This window comes from Homo sapiens, chromosome 6 (assembly GCF_000001405.40).
Source record: "Homo sapiens chromosome 6, GRCh38.p14 Primary Assembly".
In the NCBI taxonomy this organism is placed as follows: domain Eukaryota; kingdom Metazoa; phylum Chordata; class Mammalia; order Primates; family Hominidae; genus Homo; species Homo sapiens.
In genome coordinates this window covers 168725115-168740662 of record NC_000006.12, presented here as the reverse complement: position 1 = coordinate 168740662, position 15548 = coordinate 168725115, and the positions used below count along the sequence as shown (strand labels likewise).

At 42.0% G+C, this 15548-nt stretch overlaps 1 long non-coding RNA gene across 1 annotated transcript; it reads right to left on the bottom strand.

The window, feature by feature from the left end:
• Positions 1 to 223: 223 nt before the first annotated feature.
• Positions 224 to 14551, bottom strand: LOC107986550 (uncharacterized). Its single transcript, XR_001743905.2, has 4 exons — positions 14426 to 14551; positions 14189 to 14272; positions 3431 to 3539; positions 224 to 356 (listed from the first exon to the last, which is right to left on the bottom strand). It is a non-coding gene; the product is annotated as an uncharacterized LOC107986550 (long non-coding RNA).
• Between the last annotated feature and the right edge of the window lie 997 nt (positions 14552 to 15548).

The window sequence follows — 15548 nt, the reverse complement described above, 5'->3', positions numbered from 1 at the left end:
CCCCTTCTTGGTGCTGAGAGAACCTTCATCTGGGCTGTGGGGTCCACTCTGTGACCTGCACGACATTCACCCTATGCCGAGCTTTTACTTTTGGATTCACTGTTCAAGTCACAAGTGAAAGGCCCTTGGAGACTAAAAGCTTGAGCCCTACCAGCAATGATTACAAGCTCAGATGAGTTCCAGAATTTTAAAACTTTGTACAAATGACAAGCATGACTGAAATATTTGAAATTTATTTACACAGAATTAGGAAACTCCTTATGAATAGAGAGAGTCACTGATTCCTTGCTTCATATTCTGTTAGTTTGCATGAGTGGAACAGGAAGGTAGGTAATTGTACATATATTGGTTCTGGGCTGTGGAAAAAGAAGAAAGTAAAGTGAGCTTTCTCTATTAACTAACTGGCATAAATATCACAGTTTCCAAAACTAATATAATGGATGCATATACATTTTCAAAATGCAGTGTTTGTTTCTAGCAGCATGATTCAAAACATTGAGCAAATACTGTGTCATTTCTCTCTTCTCCACAGTAGCATGAACTTCAGCCACATCCAAGACCATATTTACTAGTAATTCTTGCCTTCACCAAAGTAATAAACATGAAATTCTTGTTTTTTCCTGTTCATTTCAGAGGCAATCACTAAGTCCTTATTCAGATGTTCTCATTAGTAAGAACTAAAAAGGAAAAATTATTAAAAATACTTAACTGTTTTGATTGTCACCATTTAGATTTTTCTTACTAAAACCCATTAAAAACCATACCAAAAGTGATTATAAAATAATCAAATCCCCTCACCCTCTCTATAGCTATGAACAAATACTTTTCAAGTAGATGTAATTAGGATATATAGACACTGCATTTTGATAACAAATACAGTTTTCTTATTTTTCTCAACCTATATTTTGTAGATCATAAATGAATCTGTCCTTTCTTCTTCAGGTGATAGTAAACCCTGATTATAACTTGCTGCTGCTGCTTCTTTTTTTGGTGGTGGGGGGGTGGATTTAAATATGTTAGAATTCCATGCCCTTCTAAAACATGACGTAAGGTGGTGAAAGTACCTGTGAATCAGATGTTCGATCTGTAGTTCAACATCAAGATTTTAAATGGAATCCATTATAAATGGTTATAGAAACTCCATTTCACCCATATGTCACTAATTAAAGGCTTTCCCCTAATATGTTTTTAAAGTTCTATTCAAATTTTATCTTTAGAATGCTTTCTTTTAGGAATTTGAAAACTAGAGTTTTAAAAAGACATAAAAAATATGTGCTAATAAAATGCCTTCAATCAAGAGAAGGAACTTCACTTCATCGAATTTAGAGCCAGCCTTATTCTAGATACCTAGGGGATTTGTCCAGATTTCAGATATATACTGGAACACACTTCTAAGTCATCTGGAATTTCGCCATCACTATCTGTGATACATGAAGAAATGAAGTTCTTTGTGTCTGGGACAACTGGATAATATAAGGCGACTGGGTTGAGTAGATCACTCAAATTCCAAGTATTATATAAAAATTTCCCAAGCTGGTTAAATATTGCTTTAATTTCATACCAGGGTGCTAACAGGATAATCTCAATTGAGAAATATCATTATTAGCAAATAAAATAGATAATTAAAAAATTGATGTTATGATAGTTTTAAAATAAGCTTCCAAGGCTCCCTGGCTTTCAAAAGTATAGTACATGATTTCTCCAGCCAGCCTTCTTATATTTAACCAGCCACCTTACAGCCTTTCCACTTGGTCATCACCACATATTATGAGCCAGAGGGAATTTAAAAAGAAGCAACCAAGTCATTTATTTGCCTCAAAATCAAACCAAATATTTGTTTGAGGTTCCAAATATTTAGATAGTTTACCCACTAATTTGTATTTTCCTTCATGTTTTGCACATCCTTTTTCAGAAGCAAAATGCCCTTTCCTCCACTTTATTTGTTGATTTAAATGCCTTATGTAAAAGGAAACAATAACAGACGGATTTGTTTTTACTATTTTTATGAGAACAATGTTGTTCACTTGGGCATAGTAAAAAATCCTATTTTTCTTTTTAAATTTTGTTCTTTATGTTGATTTTTCAACAATTTAACTATGGTGTCTAGGCTGTATTTCTTTGAATTTATTCTGTTTGTCATTCACTGAACTTTTTGAATCTGCAAATTTTTGTCTTGACTCATATTTGGGAAGATTTTAATCATAATTCCTTCAAATGGTTCTTTTTCCACAAGACTCAAAGTCTTTCTTCTCCACTTCTAGCACAGTAATGGCAGGAAATTACACTTCTTAATATTATCCCATAGATACCTATGGCTAGGGATATTATATTTTACATTCTATTCATTACATTTTCTTTCTTTTATTAAAATTGGATTTTTTTTTTAGCATTTACATTCAAGTCCCCCAACTCTTCTCTGTCATCAACATTCTATTAGTGAGCCCACCCAATGCATTTTTTATTTCAGCAATTGTATTTTTTAGTTCTAAAGTTTTCCTTTGGTTATTTTTTCATAGTTTCTCATTCCCTAATGAGAACTTCATTTTTTATTTATTTCAAGAGTGTTTACCTTGAACTCAAGGAATATGTTTATAACAGTTGCCTTAAAGATTTTGCTTGATAATTCCAATATCTAGGATATCTTAAGGCTGTTATCTGTTAATTGTTTTTTTATTTTGAGTATTTACAATTTCCTGGTTCTTTGTATGTCAAATAATTTTGGATTGTATTCTGGATATTTTAAAAGTTTTATTACAAAATTCTGTGTCCTGCCAAAGAAGATACATTTTCTCTTCTGCAAAATGTTGCATTTTGTTGTTGTTACTGTTGTAATAGTCCCTCAACCCAGTGAATTAACACTGCTTCAGCTTTTATGGGCAGCATTCCAATTTCACTCTCATGGCACCTTCCTCTGCTGTTTGGGAAAATCCCATGAACTGGCCTCTAGGGGTTGTCTAGGACTTGGCCATGGTTTACATCTGACTCAGCGTTCACAGTTTGGTGCTTTTCAATGATGCATTGGGTCTTCTCTGCACAGGCCTGGTTTGGAGATGCGCCTAGGGCGTGTGTCAGTTCACACACAGCATTAGAGGGTTCCCTTCTTAAGCAGTCTACCCCGAGATTCCTCCAAGCTCACAGCGGCTTCCCATGGATTTTCACTCAGGGCTTGAAGTGCCTGTGTCATGGTCACTGCACCTCAGCAGAGACAAGATAAAGAAAAATAAATCAGGGGGTCTTCATACTCTCAGACCATGGGGTCCTCTTTACCCAGTTCATGTTTACCCAGTTCAATGCCTCTGGCAAGAAAGATACGTTTTCTCTTGGGGTTTTAAATTATCACATTGTCACTGCTGCAGTGAGCCCTGGGACCTGAGCTACCGCAAGAACAGGCTAGGAGGGAAATAATGTATTAAAAAGAAATGGAAATTACCTCTCACACTCTCAGTCTCAGGGGACCATTTTTCTAGACAGACGATGGATGTGTCTCAGGAGTTCTGCTGCCTGTGAATTCCCTCATCATGGCTGACTCCAGGCCAAAGCTGGAATATAAGAGAGGAAAATAAAACAGAAAGGGCTTCTTCAAATTTTGACTCCTCTTCTTAAAATAACTGCTATTGTTAACTTTTCAGAACCCTTGATTACTTGCTTTTTGAGTTTCATTGGTGGTTTTATTGTAATTAGTAGAGAAGGAGGTGACAGAGATTCTCGGCATGGCCAAACTTGAGTCAGGTTCCTGAAACCCCTTCCAAGCCCATCCGTACTCTTCCTTATAAAATCCAGTTTCAACCAAGAGCCCTCTCGGTAAGTTTAACAAGAACCCCACCTATGCACAGATCAGGCATCTGATCACCCTCACATCCATCCATTTCCTCCTCCTCCACCTCCCCCAATGATAACTGGTCACCCGGCCTGTCTTCAGTAAGAATCCTGTTAGGTCGGTTTAGCCAGAATCCGCTGAGCCCTTGTATTTTCTTGTAGTAATTTTCCATCTGTGGACCCCCGCCCTGAGCTGCAGCTGTAAGTCCCCGCTCACCCAGGCTGTATTCAAAATGGAGCTTAATCTAATCTCTCTCCCCCACTGCCAAACCCTATTGAAGAGGACCGTGTATGTATTGTGATGGCCCTGACAAAAGGCTCCTCACCACCCTTTAAGAAGTACCTCTGAATAATTTTATTTTTAACACAAACTGCAGAGTGTTTACTTAAGCAGCACCAGAAGTACATGTTTCTCACATTTTAAAATCTTCATTTTACACATAGTTATTATAAACTATAGTTAGGTGATGAACAAAAAAGGAGGGAGAAAAGGAAAGACAGAAGGCAGGAAGAAAGGAAGGAAAGAAAGGGAATAAAGAAAGAAAAAAGGAAGGAAGATAAAAGGAAAAGGAAGGCAGGAAGGCAAGAAAGAAAAAAGAAAAAGAAAGAAAGAAAGAAAAAGAAAGAAAGAAAAAGTAAAAGAAAAGAAAGAAGAAAAGAAAAAGAAAGAAAGAAAAGAAAGAAAGAAAGAGAAAGAAAAGAAAGAAAGGAAGAAGGAAAAGAGAGGGAGGGAGGGAAGAAAGAAAAGCATTTGAAGTTTTGTTTTGCCACAGGCTTGCCCACTAATTTCTGAAGATAAGAAGTAATGAAAAAGCAACACACAGGGTCATCCAGGAAGTGTAGGTGCATCCAGAGGGTTTGGGAAGGAAGGAGACTGGCGTGATCTGTTTTTCTTTCTTCCTGGCATGGAAAGGCACAAAATTTTGTCAATCTGAGGAGAAGGTAATACAAGCAAAATCTGAGACATGTTCTCTTATGAACACAAAGTGAAAACAGCAAGCGTCCAGGCCTGTGAGACTGGGTGTGAGAGGCATCACCAGCCCTCTCTGCTCTGTGCTGGAAACGCTGGGCTGCAGGGTGTTGCTCCCTGAAGAGAGCAGGGAGCCCTGAGCACAGCACACCCCTTGGAACTTCTGTTTTCTCCTGTGCAGACTAGTGATCATAATTCCAACCCTTCTACCCTGACCATGTGGTTGTGAGAATTACTTGAGAGCATCTTGGTCCCGCAATGTTGATTATAAAGAAATAAGAACAAGTTGTAGGAGAGTGCATTGCACAGTGAGAATACACAACAGTAATCGTGGTGTGAATACATAGAGTTCGTGATCACAGGTGGTGGAGTGGGCCTCAAAAGGTGTACAGAACAACTTTAAGAGCCCTTCACCAATGAAGTGTTATGAGACAAGAGCAGCCAAGGACTACTTTAGAGAAGGCTTATCTTGTTGTGATTACTGCATGGACTTCAACACCATCCAACCATCTAAAGCTGCCACTGAAGCTGTCAGCAGGGGCTGCTCAGCACATGCGAGGCTTCTTCCTTCAACCAAACAGGGTTACTTTCTCTCATCCTCCCATCTATGTTTAAAATGAAGCTATTTTGAGAATGCTTATAAAACAAGAAGGTTAGAGAGTATTTCTTGCATCACAAAAAAGATTAATTCTTCACTCAAAGATTTACTGCAGGGAGCTGTTAAACAGTACTTCGCTTATGAGTTTTAATTGCTATTCTAAGCAGTAGGAGAAAGAGAGATAGGAGAAGCCCTACTTAGAAGTTTTAACCAAATGAAAGTCAAACGAGATTTTTAAAAAAATCCTTTCTGAAGTGATAATGTAACTCAATACAAATGCTAAAAATCATATTAGCTTCCACCTACTTTTGGGTAGTGATATCGTTTGGACATGTGTCTCCTCCAAGTGTCAAGTGGAAATGTGATTCCCAGTGTTGGAGATGGCCCTAGTGGGAGGGGTTTGGGTCATGGCGCAGATCCTTTATGAATGGCTTGATCTTGTCCTTGAGGTAATTGGTGAGTTCTCACTCTGTGAGTTCACCAGAGATCTGGTTGTTTAAAATCCTGGCACCTCCCTCCTCGCTTGCTCCTGTTCCTGCCATGCCATATGCGGGCTCCCGTTCACCTTCCACCATAATTGGAAGCTTCTTGAAGAGATGCCAACACTATGCTTCCTACACAGCCTGCAGAACTGTGAGGCAATTAAATTTCTTTTCTTTAGAATTTACCCAGCCTCAGGTATTTCCTTATAGCAATGCAGACAGACTAACACAGTTCGGAGCCAGATCAGCTTCTCCACTGTCTTTTGTTGTTGCTTGGTTCCTTCCAGTAGGCCTAGGGCCTGGCACTCGGGGCATATTGAGAGTGGAGGCAGGGGCTGTAAACTCCTGCAGACAAACGGAGGAACCAGGAGATTCAGACTTAATCCTCTCTACATGTAACTTTAATCAATTTTATGCTTTCTCTAAAGTATTTGCTGGCCATGATAGAGTTGTATGTTTATTTGCTTTATGAAGCTTGTCCAATACAGCTAAGTCCAAATGATGAAAATTAATTAATGGCTTCCACCAAGTCAGTCATTGCTATGAAAACAAATTAAAACCAATGTGGACAAAATTAAGATGTTTACTCATAATTAATTCTCAATCTTCTTGCCTGTCTTTTTGCTGCTTTATGGCACCATAGCCTTAGCTTTAACATCAGCCTGAAGATCCCCTGTGGATGCTCGCTCCAGAAATGTCCCCCAGGATGTGCATGGCAGTGTTGGCTCTGGGCTCCCCAAGCACAGGCTTCCGTAGGCTTCTTTCGCCCGATTAAATATGCCACCAACGATGGTGTGTCTCAAGATCTTCCTGACTCTAATAAGGGCATTAGAGAAGTGTTTTGGGAGTTACTACTCAGAGTAATTTCCATCTTTTTTTTTTTTTTTTTTTTACAGAGGGCCTTTCTCTAGGAGACTAATCCAATAGAATAGCTTTTCTGAATCTTTTTAAAAACCGAAGTTGATATTTAAATTTACATCACTCATGTTCTTTGTGTAAGGAAACAACATATAAATTCAGTTTTCTGGAAATCATCTTGTTTTGTTTTATTATTTTTTTGCAGGTGAATTTAAAAATGTTTCTATTCGCAGAAAATGAAAAGTGTTTGATTTGCAGTCAATCTGATTTAATTTCTAGTTTCAGAATTAAACACATTACTTCACTTAGGCTGGTAGCACACTGCTCAAGTGAAGTAATGTATTTAATTCTGAAACCAGAAAGCATACAGTATTCTTTCTTTGAGTGGATTATTTAGATTTATAATTCAGTAATTCATTATATTATTGTACTGTCATTCTGTGAGTCTTCTTAAGATTGACATAAACCTTAATTAAACATCATTCCATTTAAATAAAAGCACTCAAATCACCCGTTTTAGCCACTTAAAAAGTACCTATGAAATTAGAATTGAAGTTCTAGATAAGACAGCAGTATCTACTTCTTTATGAAGCAGTCAACTGGAGAGAAAAAGCAGACCATTTGATTCAGGGCAGGATGAAAAGCCAGAGAAAAGTCTAAGAGGCTTTAGGACTATGGGAAGATGAGAAAATTGTAATTGTTACCAGAGTATATAAAATAAAAAGCTCCTAGAACACGGTATAAACATTCCTTGTAACAAAACGAGAGCAAGAGTATTTTTTCTTCAAAAAGTTTAAATTATTATATTTTATAATAAAAGAGAGAAATTAGATAATTTTAAAATATAAAATTCTAATTTTATTTCCTAATATAAAAGGAGCACTTTATCATTCAGAAAATGTTTTAATCTCACTGAGTTTTTTGAGGCAACAAAAAATAGTATGACGATGAAGTGGATCGCTCTGCGGCATTCGCCTAAGCGTCCTTGACTACATATCTCCCTCGACAAAGAAGAGTGAGGTGGAGGGAAATGACGTCTTCTGAAGACCTACTATGTGCTGATGACATTGGCACACATTTCTTCAGCTAATTTTCAGAACAAGTCTATGAGGCAAAATGAAACTCATTTTACATTCAGTAACATGCCCTCGTTCATTTTAGCTAATAAATGGCAGGGCCAGAGTTCACAATCAATGTCCCACATTCAAATTCACTGACCTGAACAAATACACAGACCTTAATTGGTCTGTGGCAAAATGAAGCGAAGAAGTGCTAACTTTAAACCTTATCCAGTGTAAGAGATTATTAAGGACACTTGGAATGTATCCTTGCTTCTTTCAGGCGTTTATTCTTTCTAATGAAATAATGATGTTAGTGGGTTGGGGTGAAATTTCTTTAAAATGCTTACCTGGCAACTAAATAAACACATAATCTTTGCAACCATATGTTCATCTTCAAATTAGAAAATTTTGTGTCTATGACATCCAAATTTAATAAACCATTATTATCTACCATCTTTTGCACACTAAAATAATTTTTCTAGCTATCAAGACACATATCTTATTATTTCCATTGTATTCTTTGAGAAAAAAAGACTAAATACATGTACTTTTATAATGTAAGTCAAAAATTTAAAAACACAACCCATTCTTATACTCCTGGAATATGAAATAATCTTCAAAACTCTCTAGAGCTGGTACTCAAAAACACTGCATTGGCTTTGAATTGTGGTTAAATTTTCTGCAAAAGTATTCATAGCTACAAAAGATCATTGTAACTTTCTTGGTAGAACCATTTTGTCCACTTCGAAAGCTGCCATGCAACCACTGAAATTCTAATCAGGAGACCAAAATATGAAATACATTTATCTATTTCTGACAGGATTACCAATTCATTAAAAAATTATTACAGACATACATTTGTTACTAAAAAACAATTTTAATTAGACCTTGAATCAGACCATTATTAGCTTTGTCATCTTCTTTAATTTTTAATTTTTGTGGGTACATAGTAGGTGTATATATTTAATGGGTACATGAAATATTTTGATATGGGCATGCAATGTGTAACAATCATATCACAGTAAATGGGGTACCCATTAGCTCAAGCATGTATCCTTTGTGTTACAAACAATCCAATTATACCCTTTTAGTTATGTCAAATTGTACAATTAAATTATTATTGACTACACCCTGTTATGTAATTAAATACGAAATCTTATTTTTTCTTTCTAACTGTTTTTCATCGTCATTAACCATCTCTGCCTCACCCACCTCCCCATACCCTTCCCAGCCTCTGGTAATCATCCTTCTATTTCTTATCTACATGGGTTCAATTGTTTTAATTTTTAGCTTCCACAGATAAGCGAGAACATGTGATGTCTGTCTGTGCCTGGCTTATTTCACTTAACATAATTATCTCTCGTTCCATCCGTGTTGTTGCAAATGACAGGATTGCATTCTGGTGATGGCTGAATAGTACTCCATTGTGTATATGTGCCACATTTCCTTTATTCATTCATGTGTTGGAGGATGTTTAGTTTGTGTCCACATCCTGACTACTGCGAACAGTGCTGCCATAAACATGGGCGTGCAGAGATCTCTTGGATACACTGTTCCTGTTGGGGGTATATACCTAGCAGTGGGACTGCTGGATCATGTGGGATGACTTGGTCATCTCGACTTTTACCCCATTTCTTTGAAGTGTGAAAAACTGCAATCATTCTTCACAGTGACAAATCTCCATTTTGCAGTTCTGTCCGTGGCAGGAGGGTGCCCGTCTGGCCTCCATAGCAGGTGCTGTGGCCCCGGCCCTGTGCTGTGGGTAACCCCCAGCACGGTCAGCCCCAGTGTTTCACAGGCGGCATTGACAAGTTTTAGGAGTTGTGTTGCTACCTTTTAAATTGATAGAAACACGAATAAAGGCACTGAGATTATCTGGAGTCTAAAGTGAAAAAAAAAATAGAATGACTCACGAAAATGTAGTTTAACCCATGAGAATTGTAGTTTAGAAAGTGTCTTGCTGGCCCAGGGTCTGAGGCTTTCGAAGGGCTCCCAGAGGGTCCGAGCTGCCTCTTGCAACCACTGAGGGACTGACGAAGGGCTTTGAGTCGTCAAAAATTAAAACCTCCCACCTATTGTAACAGCTTGGGGTTTTCAAGAACTTCTCTCCTACGAGTTGTTGGTTTATTCCTATTCACCCAAAATTTTAAAATGGAAAAATAAGCTTAAGTTTTCTCTTTGTTTCTAAAGCATGGTGATCTTCGTTCTGCCACATCCATTTTGCTATTGGTCTTCTGTGGAATGTAGGTTGAACTAGAAAATATTTGAGGTTAAGACAAATAAGGTTTTATGGGAATAATAAACAGTTCATTGGGAATGCTTTGGAACTGTGAATATTTGCAGTTTTTCACTAAGCTTTTTACCTACTTGAAGTTCATTCCTTTCTCCCCTCCTCCCCGCTTTGTATTCACAGGCCTGGGCTCTCTGCTGAGTGTTTCCATTTCCCCATATTCTTTCTCCTGGGGACATGCTCACTTAGGTTCGATAGTTCCACATTGTCCCGAATAACTTGAATACCGGTGGCATCATTTCTCCACACGTGCTCTTTTCATTTCTGTGTGTAACTCGGAGCCTGTCATCTTTCAGCGGATGGCAGTGGAACCCCCACATTTCACTGTGGATGTGAACTGTGCTTAGGGAACAAGTGCCCTGGTCCACGCTTTGGTGGGAAGAGGAGGCTCGGAGGTTCTGAGGGTGAGGAAATGCCGTGTGAGGAAAGGGGGGAGGCAGGGCTGTGGTGGGGGAGTGGAGTTAGAGGCCCTGGAAGAGAGAAGGAGAAGAAAGGAGGCCGGGGAGGCCTGGGGAAGGCAGGGGCTCACAGTTCTGGACATAACTGCTTCCGGAAACCTCTCAGGCCCTAAGACCCTTCACCTGGCACGCTGAAGGTTTGAGGGGACTTTCTGTTTGGATGCAGAGGGGAAGGGGGCTGAGTTCTGCATTTGGGTCTGATTGGCCTGGGGTACACTAGAGACTGTGATGACCCAGGGGGAGACAGAGTCAGGAAGAAGGGGCTGGAAAGGTGCCAAAATCAGGGGTGGGCTCTGGGATCTCAGAGCCTCTGAAATGGGTGGTTCCAGCCAGGTCTCCCCCGGCTCTGCGATGGACATGAGGGGAGTCACTGAAGATGCCCAGGGGGCCCAAGAGGCCCCTCCTGCCCTCAGAGGCCACTGACATTGTCCAGTGGCCATTCTTTATCACTGTCCAGGGCTACACTTAAAGGGCAGCCTTTTTCAAAAGACCCCGATCGTAGCTCAGGGTAAAGGTAGACCCCTTGCTTTTCCTACACAATTGAACTCCCTGGGCCGGTGGTGGAGGCTGCCGGGAATAAACAGAGGCAGCGGGTACCTTGGGGGACGCGTTATAGCTCGGGGGACGCGTTATAGCTCGGGGGACGCATTATAGCTCGGGGGACGCATTACAGCTCTAACTATGTCTCCGAGAAGATTCTCTGAAGCCCTCACCCCGCCCCCCCTCGCCCCCGCCTGTGAATGTGACCTTCGGAATCAGGATCTTTGCTGATGTCATCAGGTTAAGATGAGGTCACTAGGGTGGGCCTTAACCCAAGAAAACCGGTGTCCCTATCAAGAGAGCAGAAGACAGACACACAGAGACAAGGCAGCAGCCAGCGGAGCAGCCATGAGCCAGGGAGCACTGGGGCACCAGAGGCTGAGCGTGGCAGGGAGGAGCCTCCCAAGGCTCCCGAGGGAGCATGGCCTGCAGACACCTTGAGATGGGCCTTCCAGACTCCAGAGCTGTGAGAAAATAAGTGGTGTATAGTATTTTGTCACAGCAGCCCTGGGAAGCTAACACAGACAGAAACATCCCCTAGGAGATTAGGGGGAGGGAAGGAAAGCTCTTCCCTGCTCTTTCCCTGTCTAGGAACATCCTTTCCAGACCCCGAACCCAAAGTGACCCTACAGATGCTTTCACCATTTTCAAATACTGAAGCCAGAGATAGCTGGTTGTACTTACATTAATTTGTGTTTGCAGATTTTCCTCATTTGGTTGAATAAAATATGTTCTGTCTGAGAACATTTCAGATGGTAAAAAGGATCTTATATCACTATTTGTGATGTGCCATCTGCCATCTAATGTTCAATCAAAAGATTTCTTGAGTAAATAACTGGAAATACTTGTCAAAGTGGTGCAGCGTTTGTTTTTCTTTGACATGTGGAATTCCTTTTCAGTAGGGTTGGCTGTTTAACACTCCCCTTCTCACCTCTTCACTTCCTCGCCTCAGTGAAGCAGGTGAAACCAAATTTCTTCTTTTTTTTTTTTTGAGATGGGATCTTGCTACATTGCCCAGACTGGAGTGCAGTGGCACAATCATAGCTCCCTGCAGCCTCAAACTCCTGGCCTCAAGCAACCCTCTTGCCTTGGCCTCCCCAAGTGCTGGGGCCATAGGACCACAGGTGCCTGCCATGGTGCCCAGGTTTTCTTATTGGCTACCTTATTGACTTTCTTTCTTATTGACTTCCTCAGGCCTCCAGTGCAAAGGGAAACCTGGCATTTGAGTGATTGTTTCCTCCTTAGTGCTGAGACTAAAGTCAGAACAAGCATTTCTTATGGGTGACATGGATGCTAAACCATAAAACTCAGGCTTCTCTCTTATGTGTGTGTGCTTGCCCGGGGCTGCTGGAAAGATCTGCTGGCAGCCAGCTCAGCAGCGGATAGGTTAGGATGGCTGGACAGTGATCAGTGATGTGACTTCAGCAAAATGTGAACTTGGCTGCCTTTTCTTCAAATCTGCAAAACAGAAACCATGAAATCTCTCCTTTTTCTCAAGAAATGTTTATAAAATAAATATAGCAAGTTCATAATTTTCATTAAACATTTAAGTCCCTCAGAAAGAGTAGATGAATCCCAGGTTTCCACAGTGAGGACAAAGCTGAGAAATAAGTTGGTCACTTGGGATCTGTGAAGTCTGGGCTGGACAGACACTGAATTAGGTGCCTGAGACCTAGAAGTAGACACAGCAGCTCTGGGCCGTGAGCAGCCGTGAGCAGCCGTGAGCAGCCAGCTTTGTGCTCCCAGCAGAGCCTGGCTCTGAAGAACCAGAAGGCAACAGGTTTCTCTTGGGGAGGTCATTCTCCAGGCCAAGGAGAGGCTGCCTGGCTTTTTCGTGGAGACTGCGTATAACAGAAATACTCCTCCTGGGCCGGTGTTCTAGGAGGGCCAAAGTCAAGTCCCTTCCTCCTACTCGGACCTAGGAGCCCCCACCTGATGTGACTCATGCCTGAGGCGGATGCCAGCAGCCTCTCCAGGCATCCGAAGACATTTGGGGGGTCCACTTCCCAGGAGCAGCCCCTCCAGCGCCTCTCTCGGCCTGTGTGATGTTTTCTGAAGAAAGATGCCTTTTGATCTAAGGGCGGCAGCGCTGAGATCTCTCCATGTCCTCCTTCCAGCCACCTCTGCTCTCTCTCTGCATCCTGGTGCAGAGCTGTGGGCACCGCGTGGCATTGGTGAGTGGCCTTTAGCTTCTTTGGGGAATAGAGATTTAGTTTGTCTTTTTTTTAAAAAAAAAAAAAAAGCTCTCTGAAATCACTGTAAAATGATCTCTTCAGATCTGACCAATTCTGGAGGCGATTTCACAGTACTCTATGGTATTTTATCTCACGTCCCTCCTAGATGGGCCAGCGGCGTAACCATCTGGAACTCACTGCGCTCATAGGGAACCCCGGGGGTGTTTCCTTCCTACTCGGTTTCTGGCCACCTCGTACCCCTTTGCCTGTGTGTTTCACACTTCTCTCCCCATCCCAGCACTTTGGGAGGCCAAGGCGGGCCGATCACAAGGTCAGGAGATTGAGACCATCCTGGCTAACACGGTGAAACCCTGTCTGTACTAAAAATACAAAAAAAATTGCCAGGCGTGGTGGCGGGCATCTGTAGTCCCAGCGTCGGGAGGCTGAGGCAGGAGAATGGCGTGAACCCAGGAGGCGGAGCTTGCAATGAGCTGAGATCGTGCCACTGCACTCCAGCCTGGGCAAAAGAGTGAGACTCCATCTCAAAAAAAAAAAAAAAAAAAAAAAAAAAAAAAAATGGTTGAGGCCGCCCAGAGATTCTGATGAGTCAGGAGGAGAAATACCTGTTTGTAACAGGCCTCCTGGGCTCTGCTACAAGCAGTTGGGGCCACCCGTGGAGGAGTCCCCCGGGGTTTTGACCGCGTTCAGACTCTGCACAGGGAGTTCGCAGAGAGGCCTGGTACTGCGTAGGTACCCACACCGAGAGCTGGGCCAGAGGAGGGCTCCCAAACAGACTGGGAGCAAACTCTGTGGTAACCAGAGGTGATCGTAAATTATGAGCTCCATTCATAATTACAACTCTCAGAATAGACAGTCCCAAGGTATAAATAGTTGGCTGCAGGGGAGAGTGGGCAGCTTGAGCTGAGGCTCAACGCGCTTACCTTTCAGAAAATACAGGATGGCAGCTGCTTCCTCCTCCTCTCCCATCCACCAGCACAGGCCACTTACTGTTCCTTATGATGCTCCTAGAGAAACACAATATCCATTTCTTTAGCGGGAAGGTAGAGAGAGAGAGGAAGAAAACTACAGGGGACTAGAGTGGTCCATGATTTTTAAAACTGCTAAACATCAAAACACAATGATATTCAAATTTCTATAATTAAATAAACACTTCTTACCAAATCTCACCAATTCCATTTCTGAAATATTCCTTCATCCTTCCTCGTTTTCTTCCTCACCTCTGGCCTGGACTTGAGTGAGAGCATTAGAACCATGACTGTCCTCCGACTTCAGAGCTGGGCCCTGAATTCCCCCTCCTCTTCCTCTCAGCCCCGCCTCCCAGCCATGCTCCGCAGACCCCTCCTCCCACTGCCTCCTCTGAGCGCAAACTCATCCATCCTGTGGCTCCACTCCGGGGAGCCTGTGCCTGGGACTCTGGCCAGGCTCGAGGCTCGAGCCCCTGGGAACAGTCAGTCCCTGTCTTTTCCGCACCTGTGCTCACCTTCCTCCTCGTGACACTGTGGCTTTGGGGTGGAGGGAGACTGGAGCCCGGGGAATGGCCTGTGTCTGTGTCCGGCACAACAGTTCTTGCACCAGATGAGAAAATATAATTTATCAGTATATCTTAGAAATATTTAAATTATTCTATTTCCTGAGAAAACTAGTCTTCTTGGGCATGAGGCTTTGACAGAAAGATCATCCTCCTGCCATGCCTTCACCAACCTCAGAGCTTTGAAAATGAGGCTTCCATTAGGAGTAAACCTTCCATGGGGCTGGGGCCGCCCAGCAAGGGAAGCAAGAGGTACCCCCACCAAATGGGGAGCCAGGATCTCTGTCTGGTATTTATTCTAAACAGAGTCAAGTCATTATATTAGTATTTGATACGTCAATTTTATTTAGATAACAGATGTGTGCAGTGTCATTTTAAACAGGGGAGAGGAAGCTTTGGGCTTGTGTTAAGCATGCATTTGGTTTTCAGCCACTGTTCATTTCTTATTTGGGAAGGCATCCCCTGGGGTCTCTGGTCCTCGCCCCCTTCCAGCTTCACCCGAGGACACCAGGTGCACTGGAATAGGCTTTTTCAATCTCGACTTTCCAATCACGATCCACAGTCAGCTTATACTGAGTGTAAACAAAGAAGAAATAATAAGGGAGAGGGAGAAAAAAATGCTGACCTGAATGGCTGTGTTTGCTTTTCTTCATTTAAATCCTGCAGGGCTGGAAAAGGGTGGTTGTGGAAAGCAGCAGGGAACCAGGCTTTCCCACAGCTGTGCCCCTGCTGTGTGAAGACCTCAGCTCCAC